Source organism: Homo sapiens, chromosome 5 (assembly GCF_000001405.40).
Source record: "Homo sapiens chromosome 5, GRCh38.p14 Primary Assembly".
Classification (NCBI taxonomy): domain Eukaryota; kingdom Metazoa; phylum Chordata; class Mammalia; order Primates; family Hominidae; genus Homo; species Homo sapiens.
This window is the reverse complement of record NC_000005.10, coordinates 159,898,285-159,913,848: the sequence shown is the minus strand read 5'-3', so window position 1 is coordinate 159,913,848 and position 15,564 is coordinate 159,898,285. Positions and strand designations below refer to the sequence as shown.

The window sequence follows — 15,564 nt, the reverse complement described above, 5'->3', positions numbered from 1 at the left end:
CATTTTGATTGTGGTGGCCCATTTCCCACTTCCCTGGGCATTAATTTCACCAGCTATTGAACAGCCAGCAACACACCATTGAATTTACTGAGGCTGTGTCTACATAATCACAGTAACCAGCTGCAATGTGAAAACTCAGCCTATCAGACATTTTTCTGTGGTGGCAAAAGGCCAGGATGAAAAAAAAAGAGCAAATCTGAGATTCAGAGATGGTTTATCCTCATTGTGAAAGAAAATAGTTTGTTACCTAGATGAGAACTTATGTCTTGATTCAGGTGTCAGGATGTGGAAGAAATTATTGAGCCAGATTGACAAGTTCAAAATCCTTGCAGATTTCAGACTTGTTGTCATTTACCAGTGTGTTTCGTGAAGGCAAAACAAAGATCTCACTGTAAGGGGAACAGGTATTAGCCTTAATAACAGCCGTGTAGCAGGACCCCACACAGCAACCTTTGCTAATGGTGCTTTCCTTGCTGCTCCTCCCCTTCCTTTGCTAGAGATGCCTCTTAACCCCTCTGGCTGATTTTTGACCCATGGACTTGACCATTTGTTTAGGTGTCATGAGAACACAGACGATATTTCATTTTCTCGGTACTCCCTGGGGCAAAGTCAAGCACAGAGCTCTGACTCACTCGACGCTTGTGGAAGAAGAATCTTTTCATTATCCATCTTATTGCATTAGAAACCTCTGATGTTGCAGAACTCCCATTTCTGCGAACCCTCCAGGGGAAGCTGCCACTGAAGTTGACCTGTAGAGAAACTGAAGCTATGGGAGATTCAAGGATCTGCTTAAGACATCTATGGGAGGAGATCTGTCACCTGTGATCATGCAATTTTTCATGGTGCTCTCTCTAGCTTTCAATTCGACCAGGCATATAGAGATGCATGTACTCTGTGTAAGCACCATGCTAAGTACCGTGGGTGAACCAAAGATGAATGAAACCAAGCAAACAATAACCTAACACTGAGCTAGGTGCTGTGGGAGATGATGATAATGCTAAAGCACCTTTCAGAGAGTACCTACTATGTGCCAGGCACTGTGTTAGGCAATCTATGTGCATTTACTCAAATTCACAACAATGCAACGGAGGAATTCTCTCCATTTTACAAATGAGGAAACTGACGTTCAGAGAGGTTCTGTGACATGGCCAAGGCCATTCAGTGAGTAAGTAGCATTGGTATTCAAAGCATTGTTGTCTGGCTCCAAAGCTTGCATCCTTCTCTCTGCACCAGACTGAGATTAAAAAAAGAAAAAGGCAGCAGAAGGTTCAATGTTAGCCTGAAGGAAATAACAGCAGAGAACAGAATGTGACCAGGCTCCTTAGTAAGGCAGAGGTCAGGGAGGGGAGGGAAAGGGAGAGCTGTCTGGGAGTAAAGGTTCCCCAGCGGAGCACCTTAGGTTAGTCTTCCTTGCCTTCCAGGCCAGCACTTGATCTGCTGAGGGAGTTGAGAGCTAACTTGGATTCTAATTGCACTTCTGTCATTTAATGTTTACTATGACCCTGGTCAGGAGAGTGAAGTGATGAAGAGCCTGGATCAGACACACCTGGGTTTATGTCCCAGTTCCACTAATTTATTAGCTGTGTGTTCTTGGGCAAGTCACTTAACCACTCTGGGCCCAGTTTCCTCACCTGTGAAATGAAGATCAGAATAGTTCCTAGCTCTACAGGGCTATGGTGAGGATGACATGTGAAAATGTGTGTAAAGTGCTCAGCACAGAGTAATAGTAATACTATCTGTTAGGAGTTAGCACTTACTAGGTGCCAGGCGTTGGGCCCAAAGTGCCTTCTGTACATTATCTCATTTAATCCTAATGATAACATTATGAGGTAGGTACTATTATTATTGACATTTGATAGATGAGGAATCTGAGGCCCAGAGTGGTTAAACGATTTGCCTGAGGCCACAGGACTAACAAGTGGCACAGCTGAAATACACAACACCCAGTAAATGAGGCTAAACACAAAAAAGGAATTGGAGGAGTGAGGCATCTGCTTTAGGAGGTACACTAGGGTCTGTGGGGACTCGAAGAAGAATTTTTGCCCCACCTGTACCCTGGTGGGAGGATGAGATGCATTCTTTCTTCTGGGTGGGGTACACTAACTACAGCAAAGCCTTCTCTTCTACCTCCAAAGGCAGCAGGTCAGAGGCTCCCAAGAGTGAGGAATTTCAGCTCCCTCTGGGTAGGACTGTTTTCTCTCTGGTAATTACAACTTGTCACTCTCTGGTGAGCATGCATTCCCCCAACCCAGAACTGCCAGTCATACAGCACTCCCTGGTAAGGCAGAGAGAGCTCAGTGGCAGCCCTTTGCAGCAGGCTGGTAAAGATTAACTGGCAAGTCACCCAGGGGTTGAAAGTCACCCAGGGGCTGAATGCACATCACATGTTTGGGGAGAGCCTGGGAGCTGGGGAGTGAGGCGGGGGCTGGGGTGTGAAGGCACAGGGTGCCGGACGGAGAATCCGAAAGGCCTGCTGTCTCTGAACTAGAGAGCAGATCCATTCTCTCTTATGCCTTCGTGCTATTCTGGTGGGACAGTGTAAACAGGCTGCCAAAACCCACCCATGCTGCTACAGAATCGAGGGTGAAGGGGAGTGTGTGCTGCCTTCTTGAATGGCTCTGGCTGACCCTTGCTGGCCATGGGCTTGCCACTATCACTTTGCCCAAAAATCTATGGTGCCTCCAGAATTTCTCTGGAAAAGATCTTTAAGTTGCAGTCTTGTTTGAAGGTGGGCATGCAGCCGTTTGCCCCATGACCTTCTCAAGATAGATGTCACTGTTCACATCACAGATCCAGGGCAGGGAGCTGATAGAGATTTTACTGGGGCAAAAGTCCTCCCAAGCTTCCTTGGTATTGCTACTGCCAGGATCTATTTCCCAACCACACGTCCTAAAGTCATCAAAGGCAAAAAACAAACAAACAAAAAAACTGCAAAAAACAAAAGACAAAGCAAAACAAAAAAACAGCAAAAAATACCTATGGCAATAGGTTCCTTACAGCTGACATTTCAGGGCCTTGGTCCCTCTGGGCTGCACTGCCACAAGTCAGGATCAGAGACTACAGAAGTGTCAGAACTAGAAAACTCTAGAGATCATCTAGTTCAGAGTCTGCAAACTACAATTAATCGATCAAATCCAGCCTAGTGCCTATTTTTGCAAATAAAGTTTTACTGGAACACAGCTTGCTGATTTGTTTGCGTGTTGTCTATGGCTGCTTTCAGGTTATAATGGCAGAGTTGAGTAGCTGCAACAGAGACCGTCTGTCCGGTAAAGCCTAAAATATTTACTCCCTGGACCTTTGCAGAAAAAATTTGTTAACCTTTCATCTAGTCTAATGCTCTTAATTTGCATATGAGAACACAGAAGGCCCAGAAAGAGGGAGAAATTTGTCTGAGGTAGAGCCAGGGTCACTAGCCAGGAGATTTGACTCCATGCCCACAACTTGCTTTTGCCACCACTTTCATCTGTTTCTGCAGCATGGCACAGATTCTGAGTTTGAATCCCGGCTTTAGTTGACCCAGATGTGTGACCTTGGGCAAGCTACATAAACTCTTTCAGCCTCTTTATTTTCATCTGTGCCCAGAGGATAATGCTTTCTATTTCTTGAGATAATGCACATTCTAGGTGGTTGTGAAAATTAAATGAACTGTATATAGTCTGTGTTGCTCAGGCTGGGAGCTGGCTCGTAAAAACACTCAACAAAGAACTCTACTATTATTATATTGATGTTCTCTATAATTTAAACCTGTTTGTATGTATGTAGGATATATATGTGTGTGCGTATATGTATGTATGTATATATAAGATGTATCTCTTCCACTTCAAATTTCTTAAGGGAAAAGGCTGTCTTTTACCTGTGGTTCTTAAAACTTTTTGGGTTCTAGACCTTATTGAGAATTTGCTGCAAGCTGTGGATGCAGCTGTGGATACGTTCTTTACCCTACACTTTTCCTGAATTCCTTATAGGGGCTTCCTAAGTGCCAAGTCCTTGGCAGGGCCCCTTGATCAATTGATTTCCATTTTGTTGCTTTTATTTTTGTTTGAGGAGCCTCTCTGTTGTAACTCTCTTTGTCTAGGCATAACCTCTTTCACTTTTGGGCAATAGAACTAATTAAGTGTTTCACCATTTATTATGGAACAGAACTTGAACTGAATGTAGTGAATTGATGCCGGCCTTCCTTGTCCTCCCGTAGTTTACAGTCTAAGATAAATAACGGGAATGTGCAATGGAGGATGCATAGAGAATTGTGTCTGACATTGAACAGGGATGTGAGTTAAATAAGGAAATAAATACATGACACAAATCTCAAGTTTCTCCATCCTTTCTCTTCTTCCTTTTTTTGTGCTCTCTGAACCAAACCATCCAACCCTTTTGGGGGATTTTCACTTGTAGCTACCAAGTTCAGAAAAGTCTAAAGGAAGTGGTGGGAACCTTTTCCTTGGGGTCATCCAAAAATTGTATCTGGACAAAGTGTTAGAGCCCAGCTTTGGAGAGGACAGACCAGGCCCCAGGGGAGCAAGGCAAGGGAGTGATGTCAGAAGGCGGTTTCTGCCTTCTCATCTCCATTGTCTGGCAGAGGTGGCAGTGTAGGGTCTTGGAATGAGTGTGGGCTTGCTTGGGAAATAGCATGTGGCATGACTTGGGAACGGGGAGCATAGTGAAGGGGGGAGCAGCGTGAGAAAGAGGCAGTTTCCTTTGCCCATCTTCATTGTGCATTGAGGAATGCTGGGACAGGAAATGCCCAGTGTGTCTCTGCTGTTTACTGGACACCAAACCAAAAGATTTGGAAGGTTGCCTTGGGAGTCCTGAAAAGATGAGGGGAGAAAGAGGCAGTATTTTGGTTTTTTGGCTTCTTGTGGCACTTCTTGAGTGAGTGCTCGGGGAATGGGGGAGATTTTGTGGAGACTTTTAGACAGGAGCAGCCTGGTATAATGGCAATTAGCTATGAGGTGTGAATTGCAAGTGCCTGGGAGGGCCCCAAATATTTCCCCTGCCCTTTGGAGCGCTACCCACTTACAGGTAAGCATTGCCTGCTTTCTTTGGCCCCATTTGAATTAACTATGACTTACTGAGTGCAGTTATGCATGCAGCATTGTGCCAAGTGAATCCATATGCGTCATCTCATTTAATTCTCCGAACAACACTTCCGTGGTATGTCTTAATCGCTTGCACTGCTGTAAAGGAGTACATGAAGCTGGATAGTCTATAAAGAAGAAAGGCTTATTGGGGCTGTACAAGAAACATGGTACAGGCATCTGCTTCTGGTGAGGGACTCAGGCTACTTCCACTCCATAGTGGAAGGGGAAGGGAAGCTGGCATCACGTGGGGAAAGAGGAAGAAAGAGGAGGACGTGCCAGGCTCTTTTGAACAACAAGCTCTCACTCACTCCTGCAAGAATGGCACCAAGCCATTCATAAGGGATCCTCCCTCACAATCCGAACACCTCCCACCAGGCCCCACTTTCAACACTGGGGGATCGAATTTCAACATGAGACTTGATGGGGCCAAATAAACCATATTCAAACCATAGCGTGGTTGATACCGTTAGCTCCAATTTACAGGTGAGAAAACTGAAGATAAGAGAGATTCATTAACTTGTCCAAAATTACTCAGAAATGGGATTAGAGCACAGGCAGTCCAGAGAGGCAGAAGTTGTGCTGGGCTGTGTGCACAACACAAATATGTGCCTGTCTCCATGGTGAGGTCTGAGGATTGAATCTCTCCTCCTAACACTTCCTGGGGAACCTTAAGTGAGTTTATGTCAGGATCCTGCCTTAACTCTTCCAAGAAGGGTGGGAGACCTGATTCAATAATTGTCTTTAAGGAGGGCAAAAATTATTGGTCCCATGATGGCAACCAACTCTGTGTGTGTGTGTGTGTGTGTGTGTGTGTGACAGAGAGAGAGAGAGAGAGAACAAACAGCTATAGATGCCAAAGACAAAGACAGCATGAGAAACGCCAGTTAGCCCTAAGGAAGTAGCTTATTAAACACCAAACTGGCTTCATCCAGACAGATAAAATTCTAGCTCCTGCCACTTCCTGGCTTTGTGACCTTGGGCAAGTTACTTTATTTATTTAAGCTTCTATCTGTTTATCTGTAAAATGGGGATTTTAATAGTATTTACCACATGGAGTTGTTGGGAAGATTAAATGGAACTGTGCCTGGCACCTAGAAAGCTCTCAATAAATGTTAGTTATTATGGATATTTTTGTATAATCTTAAAAACACACAAAAGATTTCTCAGTATCTGGAGTATTTAGGTACAGATTTTCTCTGTTAATCTCTCAGCTATCCTTACAGAGCTTTACTTGCCAAATGATGTCACTGATGCATTTTTTTTTTCTGACATAAATTGCCCTGAACAAACAGCGGCTGGTAAAAGAACAACAATACAAATAATAACAGCTAACATTTGTTGAGAACTTCTGTGTACTAGGCATCTGTTATATACTTTACATGAATTATCTCATTCTAATACAAGAATCTTATCAGGTAGGCAGAAATAATATATCTGGCCTTTGAGAGGCAACTTCTGAAATTGCCATATCCAGAGAGCCAGGGCTTGTTGGAAATATTTCTATCCACAGTGAGGTTGGAGATCAAGCCGGTGTGGGTGTTGGTGAGCTTGGGGAATGGGGTGTGGCAGGCAGTTGGCCAGTGAACTTGCTGTGCATTGGGAGAGAAACCCAGCTCAGTTCAGCAGGTGGAGTGGCAGGTCCTTGGACTATATAATTCATGGCCATTGGTACAATTAGTGTCAACAGGAATTTTCCTTGTGTATCAGACCAAAGAGGCTCGAAGGCTATAAATCATCTCACTGGAGGCTGGCCATTCATACCCTAGAAGGGCAGGGAAGGCAGGGGGACTCGTGTGAACCTCCATCTTCCAGGTCCTCTGGGAAGGGGATGAAGAGAAGGAAGCAAAGGGAAGGGAGTGAATGCCAGGGAATTTGTATTTTCAATTAAATCCCAGGGACTAAGTGGAAAAGAAAAAAGAGTATTCAGTCTGGAGCTCTCAAGTCAAGCCGGGGAACTTCTCCTTAAAACAGATGGATCATCTCCAGGTGCGAAAGTTTGGCCCTTTGTTGCCACTCAAAAACTTTAGAATTTTCCTTTGTTCAGTCTAGGGAACTGCTCACTTTTCCCCTTCTTGGTCCTGCTCCATCAAGAGCCTGGAATTTAGAAAGGAAGGAATGTAGAGTGTTGAGTAGGCAAAGGTTTGTCTGCATAGCCAGCTATGCTCAAACTTTACAGGGAATAAAAGTCATCTAGAGCAAGCCTTAAGATGCAGATTCCTGGGCTTCAGCCTTAGATATCCTAATTCAGCAGGTTTGAAATGGGGTTCAGGAATTTATATTTTTGTAAGTAACCCAATGATTTGATTGCAGAAGACTACATTTTGAGAAACATTATTTTGGTCCAACATCCCCACTTTTACAGATGATCCAATGGAGGTCATCTGTAAAATGGTTGAATGTTTCATATAGAGGGTTCTTATACACATAACTTGGTTGAATGTCTCATAGAGAGGGTTCTTATATGCATAACTTGGTTGAATGTCTATAGAGAGGGTTCTTAACTTGGTTGAATGTCTCATAGAGAGGATTCTTATAGGATGCAGGTCTTAAACCCAGGTTTTCTGATTGCCAGTCTGGCCAGTCTTGCCTCCACTGGGCTCATTAAAAATGGCATTGTGGTTGGTGCGGTGGCTTACCCCTGTAATCCCAGCACTTTGTAAGGCTGAGGCTGGCAGATCACCTGAGGTCAGGAGTTCAAGACCAGCCTAGCCAATGTGGCGAAACCCTATCTCTACTAAAAATACAAAAATTAGCCTGGTGTGGTGCTGTGTGCCTGTAATCCCAGCTATTTGGGAGGCTGACAGGAGAACTGCTTGAACCTGGGAGGCGGAAGTTGCAGTGAGCCAAGATTGCACCTCTGCACTCCAGTCTGGGTGACAGAGCAAGACTCTGACTCAAAAAAAAAAAAATGGCATTGACTTTCACTTGCTGTAGTTTATTCTTGCCTAGTGTCTCCATTCATCACACCTCAGCTCAGGGTCATTTCCTCAGGGAAGACTGTCCTGCCCCTCCCCACTCAGTCTAGGCAAGGTTCCTTTGTTTTCCACACCCAGAAAATCACCTCTCTCTCTTTTATAGCATTTGCTATGGTTTGTGGTTACATACTTCTGCATATGACTCTTTGATCACACTCTGTCTCTCTCCCTAGGCTTCAGGCTCAATGAGAGCAGGGCAGTGTTTCTTTTTGTTCCTCCAAGGGACTAGTGCATTGTCTAATGGTTAGTAAGTGCTCAGTAAATATTTATTAGATGAGTGAGTGAATGAATGAATGAAAAGGACAGTTTGATCTCAGCCTTAACTGAAAGTCAAAATAAAGCAGTATTTGTGAAACTTTTGTCTTTCAATGGCATTCTCTTTTTAGACATTTTAAAGTTATCATTCTTGTTTCTGGCCCAGCCTTTTTGATTCCAAATGCCCATTGCATTCCTGCAACCTCAGCTTCCAGCATGCAAAATTGTGTAGGAGGAGGCTTGCTTTGTTGGATTGTCTATGTGTCTATCACAATTTTTCTATTTCTGTAGTGAATTTTGTGTTAGAAACCTATTCTCCTCTCTGCAACCCTCTCTTCCTTTCAACTATAACCCCTCCCCAAGATCCCAATGGTCTCCTGTTGCTTCCAGCAACCCCCAAATCTGACCTTTTCTAACCTTTTGTTCTCAAATTCTACCAATGTCCTATTTCCTACAGGCCTGGTGCATGTTATGAACTCTTCAAAGAGATAGGTTCCTGCTAACGCTGGATAGTGACTTGATCTGTTGGCTCCTCTTCCTCTCCTTTCAGTTTTAACTAAGATCATCACTTTCTTAACTAAAGCTGTGTGCTCCAATGAGCTGGTCAAATTCTTGACTCTATGGAGCCCATCAAACACTGATGATAGGAGGAAGATTCTAGTGATTAGCAGATATTTATTGAGCACTGTGTTAGGGTCTGAAGTTCATACAAGGATGAATTAAAAGTATTTCTTTCTCCCAAGGCTCTTTATGGGAAGAGAGTCATGGACTCACATTCAATAATGGTGTGGCAGTTAAACAACACTTCAGGAGACTTCAGTATCTTGTTACTTGCCAAACAACTGATGATCACAAGTGCTATGAATTTAAATTAGACAATGTGTATAATGCACTTTGGAGTGGGCCTGACACATAGTAGGCTCACTCAGTAATGCTAATCCTTCTTCCGTCTAAGGGAGGGAGAGATTTTTCTGGGCTGGAGTAGGCCACCTGGTCTCCATTGAGGAGGTGCCTTCCATTAAGGTTCTGGGAAGCACACACGATTTGTGAGGAAACTTTTTCAGTTCCACAAATGTACCCATTTGCATTCAGGATTAATTTCTTTTTGGGAACAACTACTTTCCTTGAATTAAAGCAGGTCTCCTAGAACCTAGCTTATCCACACTTTTTCATGTGCTGTGCCTTCATAGGAGAGAGGCATTTAGAATCAGAGCTGGAAGGGACTGTAGAAGTTGTGTAGCCCTTTCCTCATTTCCCAGGTGGGGAAACTGAGGCCAGGCAAGTTACTTGACCATGGTCACTCAGAGCCAGAACCAGAACTGAGGTCTCTAATGTCCAGACCCATAGTCTTAAAAATAACTGTATGCTATTTTCATTGTTCAAATACTAAACAAATGCAAGCAGCTTTTTAAAAATTATTAAGGTAAATTGTGCTCATTGCAAAACTATGGAAAGACATACAAAATGAAAAGAAAATCAGTCTCATTTCACTATCAAGAGAACATCGTTGTTAACATTTCGGCAAATGCTTTCTAGTATTTACACACACACACGCATACATGCACGTGCACACACACATACAGGTGTGTGTGTGTACAGGTCAGGTGACTTTTGTTTGGACCCCAGCCTACTTTTAGCCTCCCTTTGTAACGGAAGCTGTGCCCTGAGTCTTCCACCTGTCGGGCCCAGGCGGACCCTCCCCTCCAGCTCTAGGGGAGGACTCCTGACCCAATCAGAGCCAAGGAGTACCCAGGTGCTCTTAAGACATGGGATTTGAAGATGAGGGGATGTGAGGTTTGGAGCCAGGTCTGGAGGTGTTCTGGTTGCTATGCAGCCACAGTAAGAGAGCCTGTCTGGGTGTGAATGGAGCTGAGTGAATGTGGCCGCCCTTCCCACACACTCCCACGGGAGTTGCCAGAATAATTTCTACCCTTTAAAGTAGCTACTTGGCCATTACCAGTGGATCCAATTCTTAGCTAAAGGACTTTGAGCAAGTCACTTAACCACTGAGTCCAGTTTCCTCATCTGTAAAATGGGATAACACTTGGAGGATCATAGTGAGGATAATATACCACTACTCCTACTAATAACAAAAATAGTAGTTAAATTTACAGCTGCTTTTATTAATTGTTTGCTAGATATCAGGGCTATGCTAAGCAGTTTAGTATATTGCGTCATTTAGGCTTCACATGGACAGAGAGTGGAAGGAAGAGGGATTTACTTATTGTTGCCTGGGTACAGGGAAGGACTAAGACACAGGGCCAGGTCCCAGCTGCCCTGATTCCTGGTGCAGTCATTTGCTAACTGATTGCTTCTGCCTGTTTGAACATTTGGGGTGGGAACCTTGATGCTTTTCAGGGCCTCTTGCCTGGGTCCTCTAGAGGGACAGGATGCTGGTTCCAAACTAGAGAATGGTAAGGTCCTGCCGGGCTGTTGAGGCAGAGGTGGGGACACTGGCCAGAGCCTTCTCTGTCTGCAGAGTCCCCCTTCCTGGCTGTGCCCCAGAGTTCCCTAGGTAACCGCGGGGGATGCAGCACAGATTCATGGGCCTGCTGCTCCCAAGCAAGTACCTGACGTGTTCTGTCCGAGAGCGACAGTGTCTGATTCCTGTATGACTCATCAGGAGGGGAATAGACACACGCCAGAGGCATAGGAGGAAGGAAAACCCCCACATTCTCACCTCCCACCAGCAAAGGGATGAAGAGGAATTTCTCCACTGCACACACTGCTTAAAAGGCAGGTGTTTTCCACATTTTATAGATGGGGAAAGTGAGGATCCATTACATCCACTCTTTCATTTGTTCCATGGACATCGGTTGAGCAAGGGCTTTGTGCCAGGCATCATGTCAGATTGTGTGGGAGACACAAACTTGGGAAAAACACTGACTCTACCATCAACTGGGCTGTTGACTAAGATGTGGCAACAGGAAATGTCACCCAGGGTGGGGCCTTGAAGAGTGGGAGGGCCCCAGGAGTTAGCATGTCAGTCATTTGTCTTTGAATAGGTTCAACTTCACCTCATTTCAAACATTCCTTTTTTTTTTTTAAATGGTGGTTAAAAAATACATAACATCTATTTACCCCTTTAACAGTTTTTAAGTACACATTACAGCATTGTTAACTCTATGGACTTCTTTGTACAGCAGATCTGTAGAACTTGTTCATCTTACATGAATGAAACTGCAGACCCATTGAACAACAACTCCCCATTCCGCCTCCCCCAGCCCCATTCTACTCTCTGTTTCTATGAATTCAACTACTTATCTCATGTAAGTGAAATCATATTGTATTTGCCTTTTTGTGACTGACTTATTTAACTTAGCATAATGTCCTCAAGGTTCATCCATGTTGTAGCATGCATCAGAATTTCCTTCCTTTTTAAGGCTAATATTCCATTGTGTGTATATAGTGTATATATCACATTTTCTTTATTCACTCATCTGACATTTAGGTTGCTTCCACAACATTGAGGATAATGCTGCAGCAAACATGGGTGCATAAATATCTTTTGGAGATACTGTTTTCAATTCCTTTAATATATACTGAGAAGTGGGATTATTGCATCATATGGTAGTTCCATTTTTAATTTTTTGTGGAAGCTTTATAGTATTTTCCATAGCAGCTGTTCCACTTTACAATCCCACCAACAGTGTGCAAGGCTTCCAATTTCTCCCCAACCTCACTAACAATTGTTATTGTTTTTTAATAGTGACCATCCTAATGGGTGTGAGGTGATATCTTGTGGTTTTGATTTGAGTTTTTCTGATGATTATTAATGTTGAGTATCTTTTCTTATGCTTGTTGGCCATTTGCATATCTCCTCTGGAGAAATGTCTATTCTTTGTCTACTTTTGAATTGGGCTATTTGTCACTGCAAACATTCTTTGAGCATCTACTTCTACATGCTGAGAAGAGCTGAGATGAACAAGAAGCCCCTCAAGAAGCTTTCAGGAAGGCTTTTGAGATTTTTCTCAAAGCAACATATCTGGTTAATTATAAGAAATTTGAACTATACAGAAATTAAAATTATAACTTATAACAGGTTCATCAATTTATACTGGTATTCAGAAATTCTCCTTCCCGTCCCCCTCCCCTCCCCCTCCCCTCCCCCTCTCCCTCCCCCTTCTCCTCCCCTTCCTCCTCCTCCTCCTCCTCCTCCTCCTTCCTCTTCTTGTAGTGATCCTAGTGGGGTTCTATTTGACTTATTTGGCTGTGCTGGAAGAGCAAAGGGTGAAGGGTGCACCTGCTGACAAGACCCGTCACTTCTCCCTCTGCCTTTATCCTCTGAGGAAGGCAGGAGGGAGGAAAATGAGATTTCTCTGGGTTCTTCAAGAGAATGGATTATCTTTGATCTCTGACTCTTTGGGAGCTTGTTGGAATTTACATAATAAATAATTATAAGTTAATGTACCTACTTAAAAATAGTACATATATATTATATGTCTAATATCTATAACATGTATAATAGTAAAACATAATATAATGAATATATAATAATAAGTATATCCATAGGCAGGTTTTTCCCTTCGGAGTAGTCACCTCAGGAGGCCATGAGCTTGTTTTCATAGTCCAATTAAAACTATTTTCTCTCCTCTTTCATTATTCTTCTCAAACCAGTTTGCACATTCTTGTGACCATCATGGTGGAATTAAGTACTCATTCTTTGAGAGCAGATGTAATTTTCAGAAGCAATCCACAGTCCTTATGAAGACACTCTGAGCTGGTCCTTAGCCTGTCTGTCCCAAGTCCATTCCATGGCCTGTCTTGCACTGCTCTGCATGGCTGGGGGGCTGCCCACCCCCCAACCTGCCAGCTGGGCTTGCTCAGTGGGGGGTATGGCAGAAGGGAGAGAGACAAGAGAAGTGAGGACATTGCTCCCCTTTGCTGACTCTCTCTCTCCCTCAGGGGCTATTTCTGATTAAGTTTCGTCACTTTCATGGCTCTCACTACACTGGACAGATCTAGTAGTACAAATACATCTATAAAAATAAAATCAATGGCTTGCTACATGCCAGCATGAATTTGCTGTAAAATATAAAAGAAAACAGATTCTACTCACCATAACAACCAAATATGCAATGCCCAGGAATAACTTTAACAAGGAACGTACAAGACCTATATGAAGAAAGTGACAAAACTTTACTGAGGGGAATAAAAGAGGCCTTGAATAAACGGAAAGATGTATTCCACTTCTGGGAGCACTGTAAGGATGTCAATGCTTCTCAATTTAACCTATTAATTTAATGTTGTTCCATTGAAAATATCACTGGAATTTGGAGGGAATTTAATAAAATGATTCCAAAGTGCTTCTGGTAGAATAAATGCTTAAGAATAACCAAAAACTTTCAGAAAAAAAGGGTAGGTGGAGGGAATTTCCCTACCAGATTAAAAGGCTTGATAATGTAACTGTAGTTGAAACAGTACTACTGGCAGAAGGTCAGGCTGGCAGATTATTGGACTAGAATAGACTATTTAAACTAGATTCAGCACGTATGAGAATTACTGTGTTGATAAAGGCATTTGTGAGGAAAGGAAATATCACCTTTATCAATATATTAGTTGGGTATTTGGAAAAAATAAAGTTACAGCCTTACTTCTCATCTTACATCCACTGTACATTCCAGATAAATCTCTTGGCAGAGATTCTGGGAATCTTGTGGTCTAAAACAGTCATTTCACAGGCTATAAAACAGATACAGAAAGGAGAAAGATCTTGCCTGAGGACACACAACACATTAATAGCAGGGCCAAGGACTCTTTACTTCCGATTTGGAGCTGTCTACCCTTTAAAGACCCATCTTTACAGTCCAGTTCATTGCCTCCTGCCACAGTTTTCATTTCCATAAGGCATCACAGGAGTAGGGCTGCCGGGTGCCGTTGTGCAGGTTATGACTGTACCATTTCAGGGGGATCCATTTACATCAAAATCTATATGAGTGGTACCCTTTTGGAGCTGTGCAGAGCACTGTCAGTATGGGCATACTTAGGAGTCCTGCTCAGGAGGATGGATCTGGAATTCATTCTTCAGCAAGGATGATAAATACTTATGACATGCGGTGAAGCTTCTTTCTCCAGTACACATGGCTGTCAATCAATTTTCCAGGCATTGGCTGTCAATCATGTTAGTCTTTCCCACTGAGCCCAGACTTAATCTCAGAATCTTTCCCAACCAAATCCTCTAAGATATCTCAACCCAGTTCTTCCACTAGTTGCCTTTCCTTCTTTCCTTCCTTCCTTCCTTCCTTCCTTCCTTCCTTCCTTCCTTCCTTCCTTCCTTTCTTCCTTCCTTCCTTCCTTCCTCCCTCCCTCCTTCCCTTCCTTCTTTTATTTCTTTCTTCCATTCTTTCTTTTCTTTTCTTTTTTTCTTTTCTTTTCTTTCTTCCTTCCTTCCTTCCTGACAGGGTCTCACTTTGTCACCCAGGCTGGAGTGCAGTGGCATGATCAAGGCTCACTGCAACCTCAACCTCCCAGACTCAAGCAATCTTACTGCTTCAGCCTCCCACGTAGCTGGGACTACAGGTGTGCACCACCACACTTGGCTAATTAAAAAACTTTTTTTTGTAGAGATGGGGTCCCACTATGTTGTTCAGGCAGGTCTTCAATTTCTAGGCTCAAGTTATCCTCCTGCCTCTGCCTCTCAAATGTGGGATTACAGGCATGAACCATTGCTCCTGGCCTCCACTAGTTTTCAATTGTAGCTGGCCCTTGAACTAAATAAAATCCATTTGCTTTAACTGTTTTAAGTGAGTAGCTCAAATTTGTCCTCAGAAGGATCCCCCTTCCAAGTCTCTTCTCAGCTTCTATTCATTGATATCAACATAGATGTGATGAAACTGCCAAACAAAACAATCAATACGGCCATGGTAACATTATAGGATGCTTTAAGGATTAAATGCAAAAATGCAGATAAAATCTTTAGATAGTGACTGCCAATAATTAGTATTTTCAAATAACAATGAACTATTTAAAAATCACCTTGTTGAAATCTATAAACATGTGTTTGTTTTGCTAACAGCCTCTAATGTATTCTCAATCTAACCCCTAGTTTCCAAACATACATTAGAGATATAAACTGCTGAGTATTGTTGAGAATCATATGTTTATCAGAGTTTCAGTCATCAAACACACACACACACCCCACTTCTGGGAATCAGTTTCTGTGATCCAGAAGCTGCTAAAATCTATGGGCGATAGTTTTCTCTGCCCTCCTGTCTTACAGCTGTCTCCTGAGTCAGTCTCTCTCCCACTCTTCCTGC

At 43.1% G+C, this 15,564-nt stretch overlaps 1 protein-coding gene across 2 annotated transcripts in view; it reads right to left on the bottom strand.

Annotated features, from left to right (window-relative positions):
* The window catches only part of ADRA1B (adrenoceptor alpha 1B), a 124,120-nt gene that overhangs the window by 75,357 nt on the left and 33,199 nt on the right, over positions 1-15,564 (bottom strand). The window contains exon 2 of one of the 2 annotated variants that reach the window (XM_047416776.1): positions 5,070-5,203. The exons of the other annotated variant lie outside the window; for it this stretch is intronic. The gene's annotated coding sequence lies outside the window, so the exon portion shown is untranslated. The remainder of the gene's footprint in view (positions 1-5,069; positions 5,204-15,564) is intronic. 2 annotated transcript variants of the gene reach the window in all.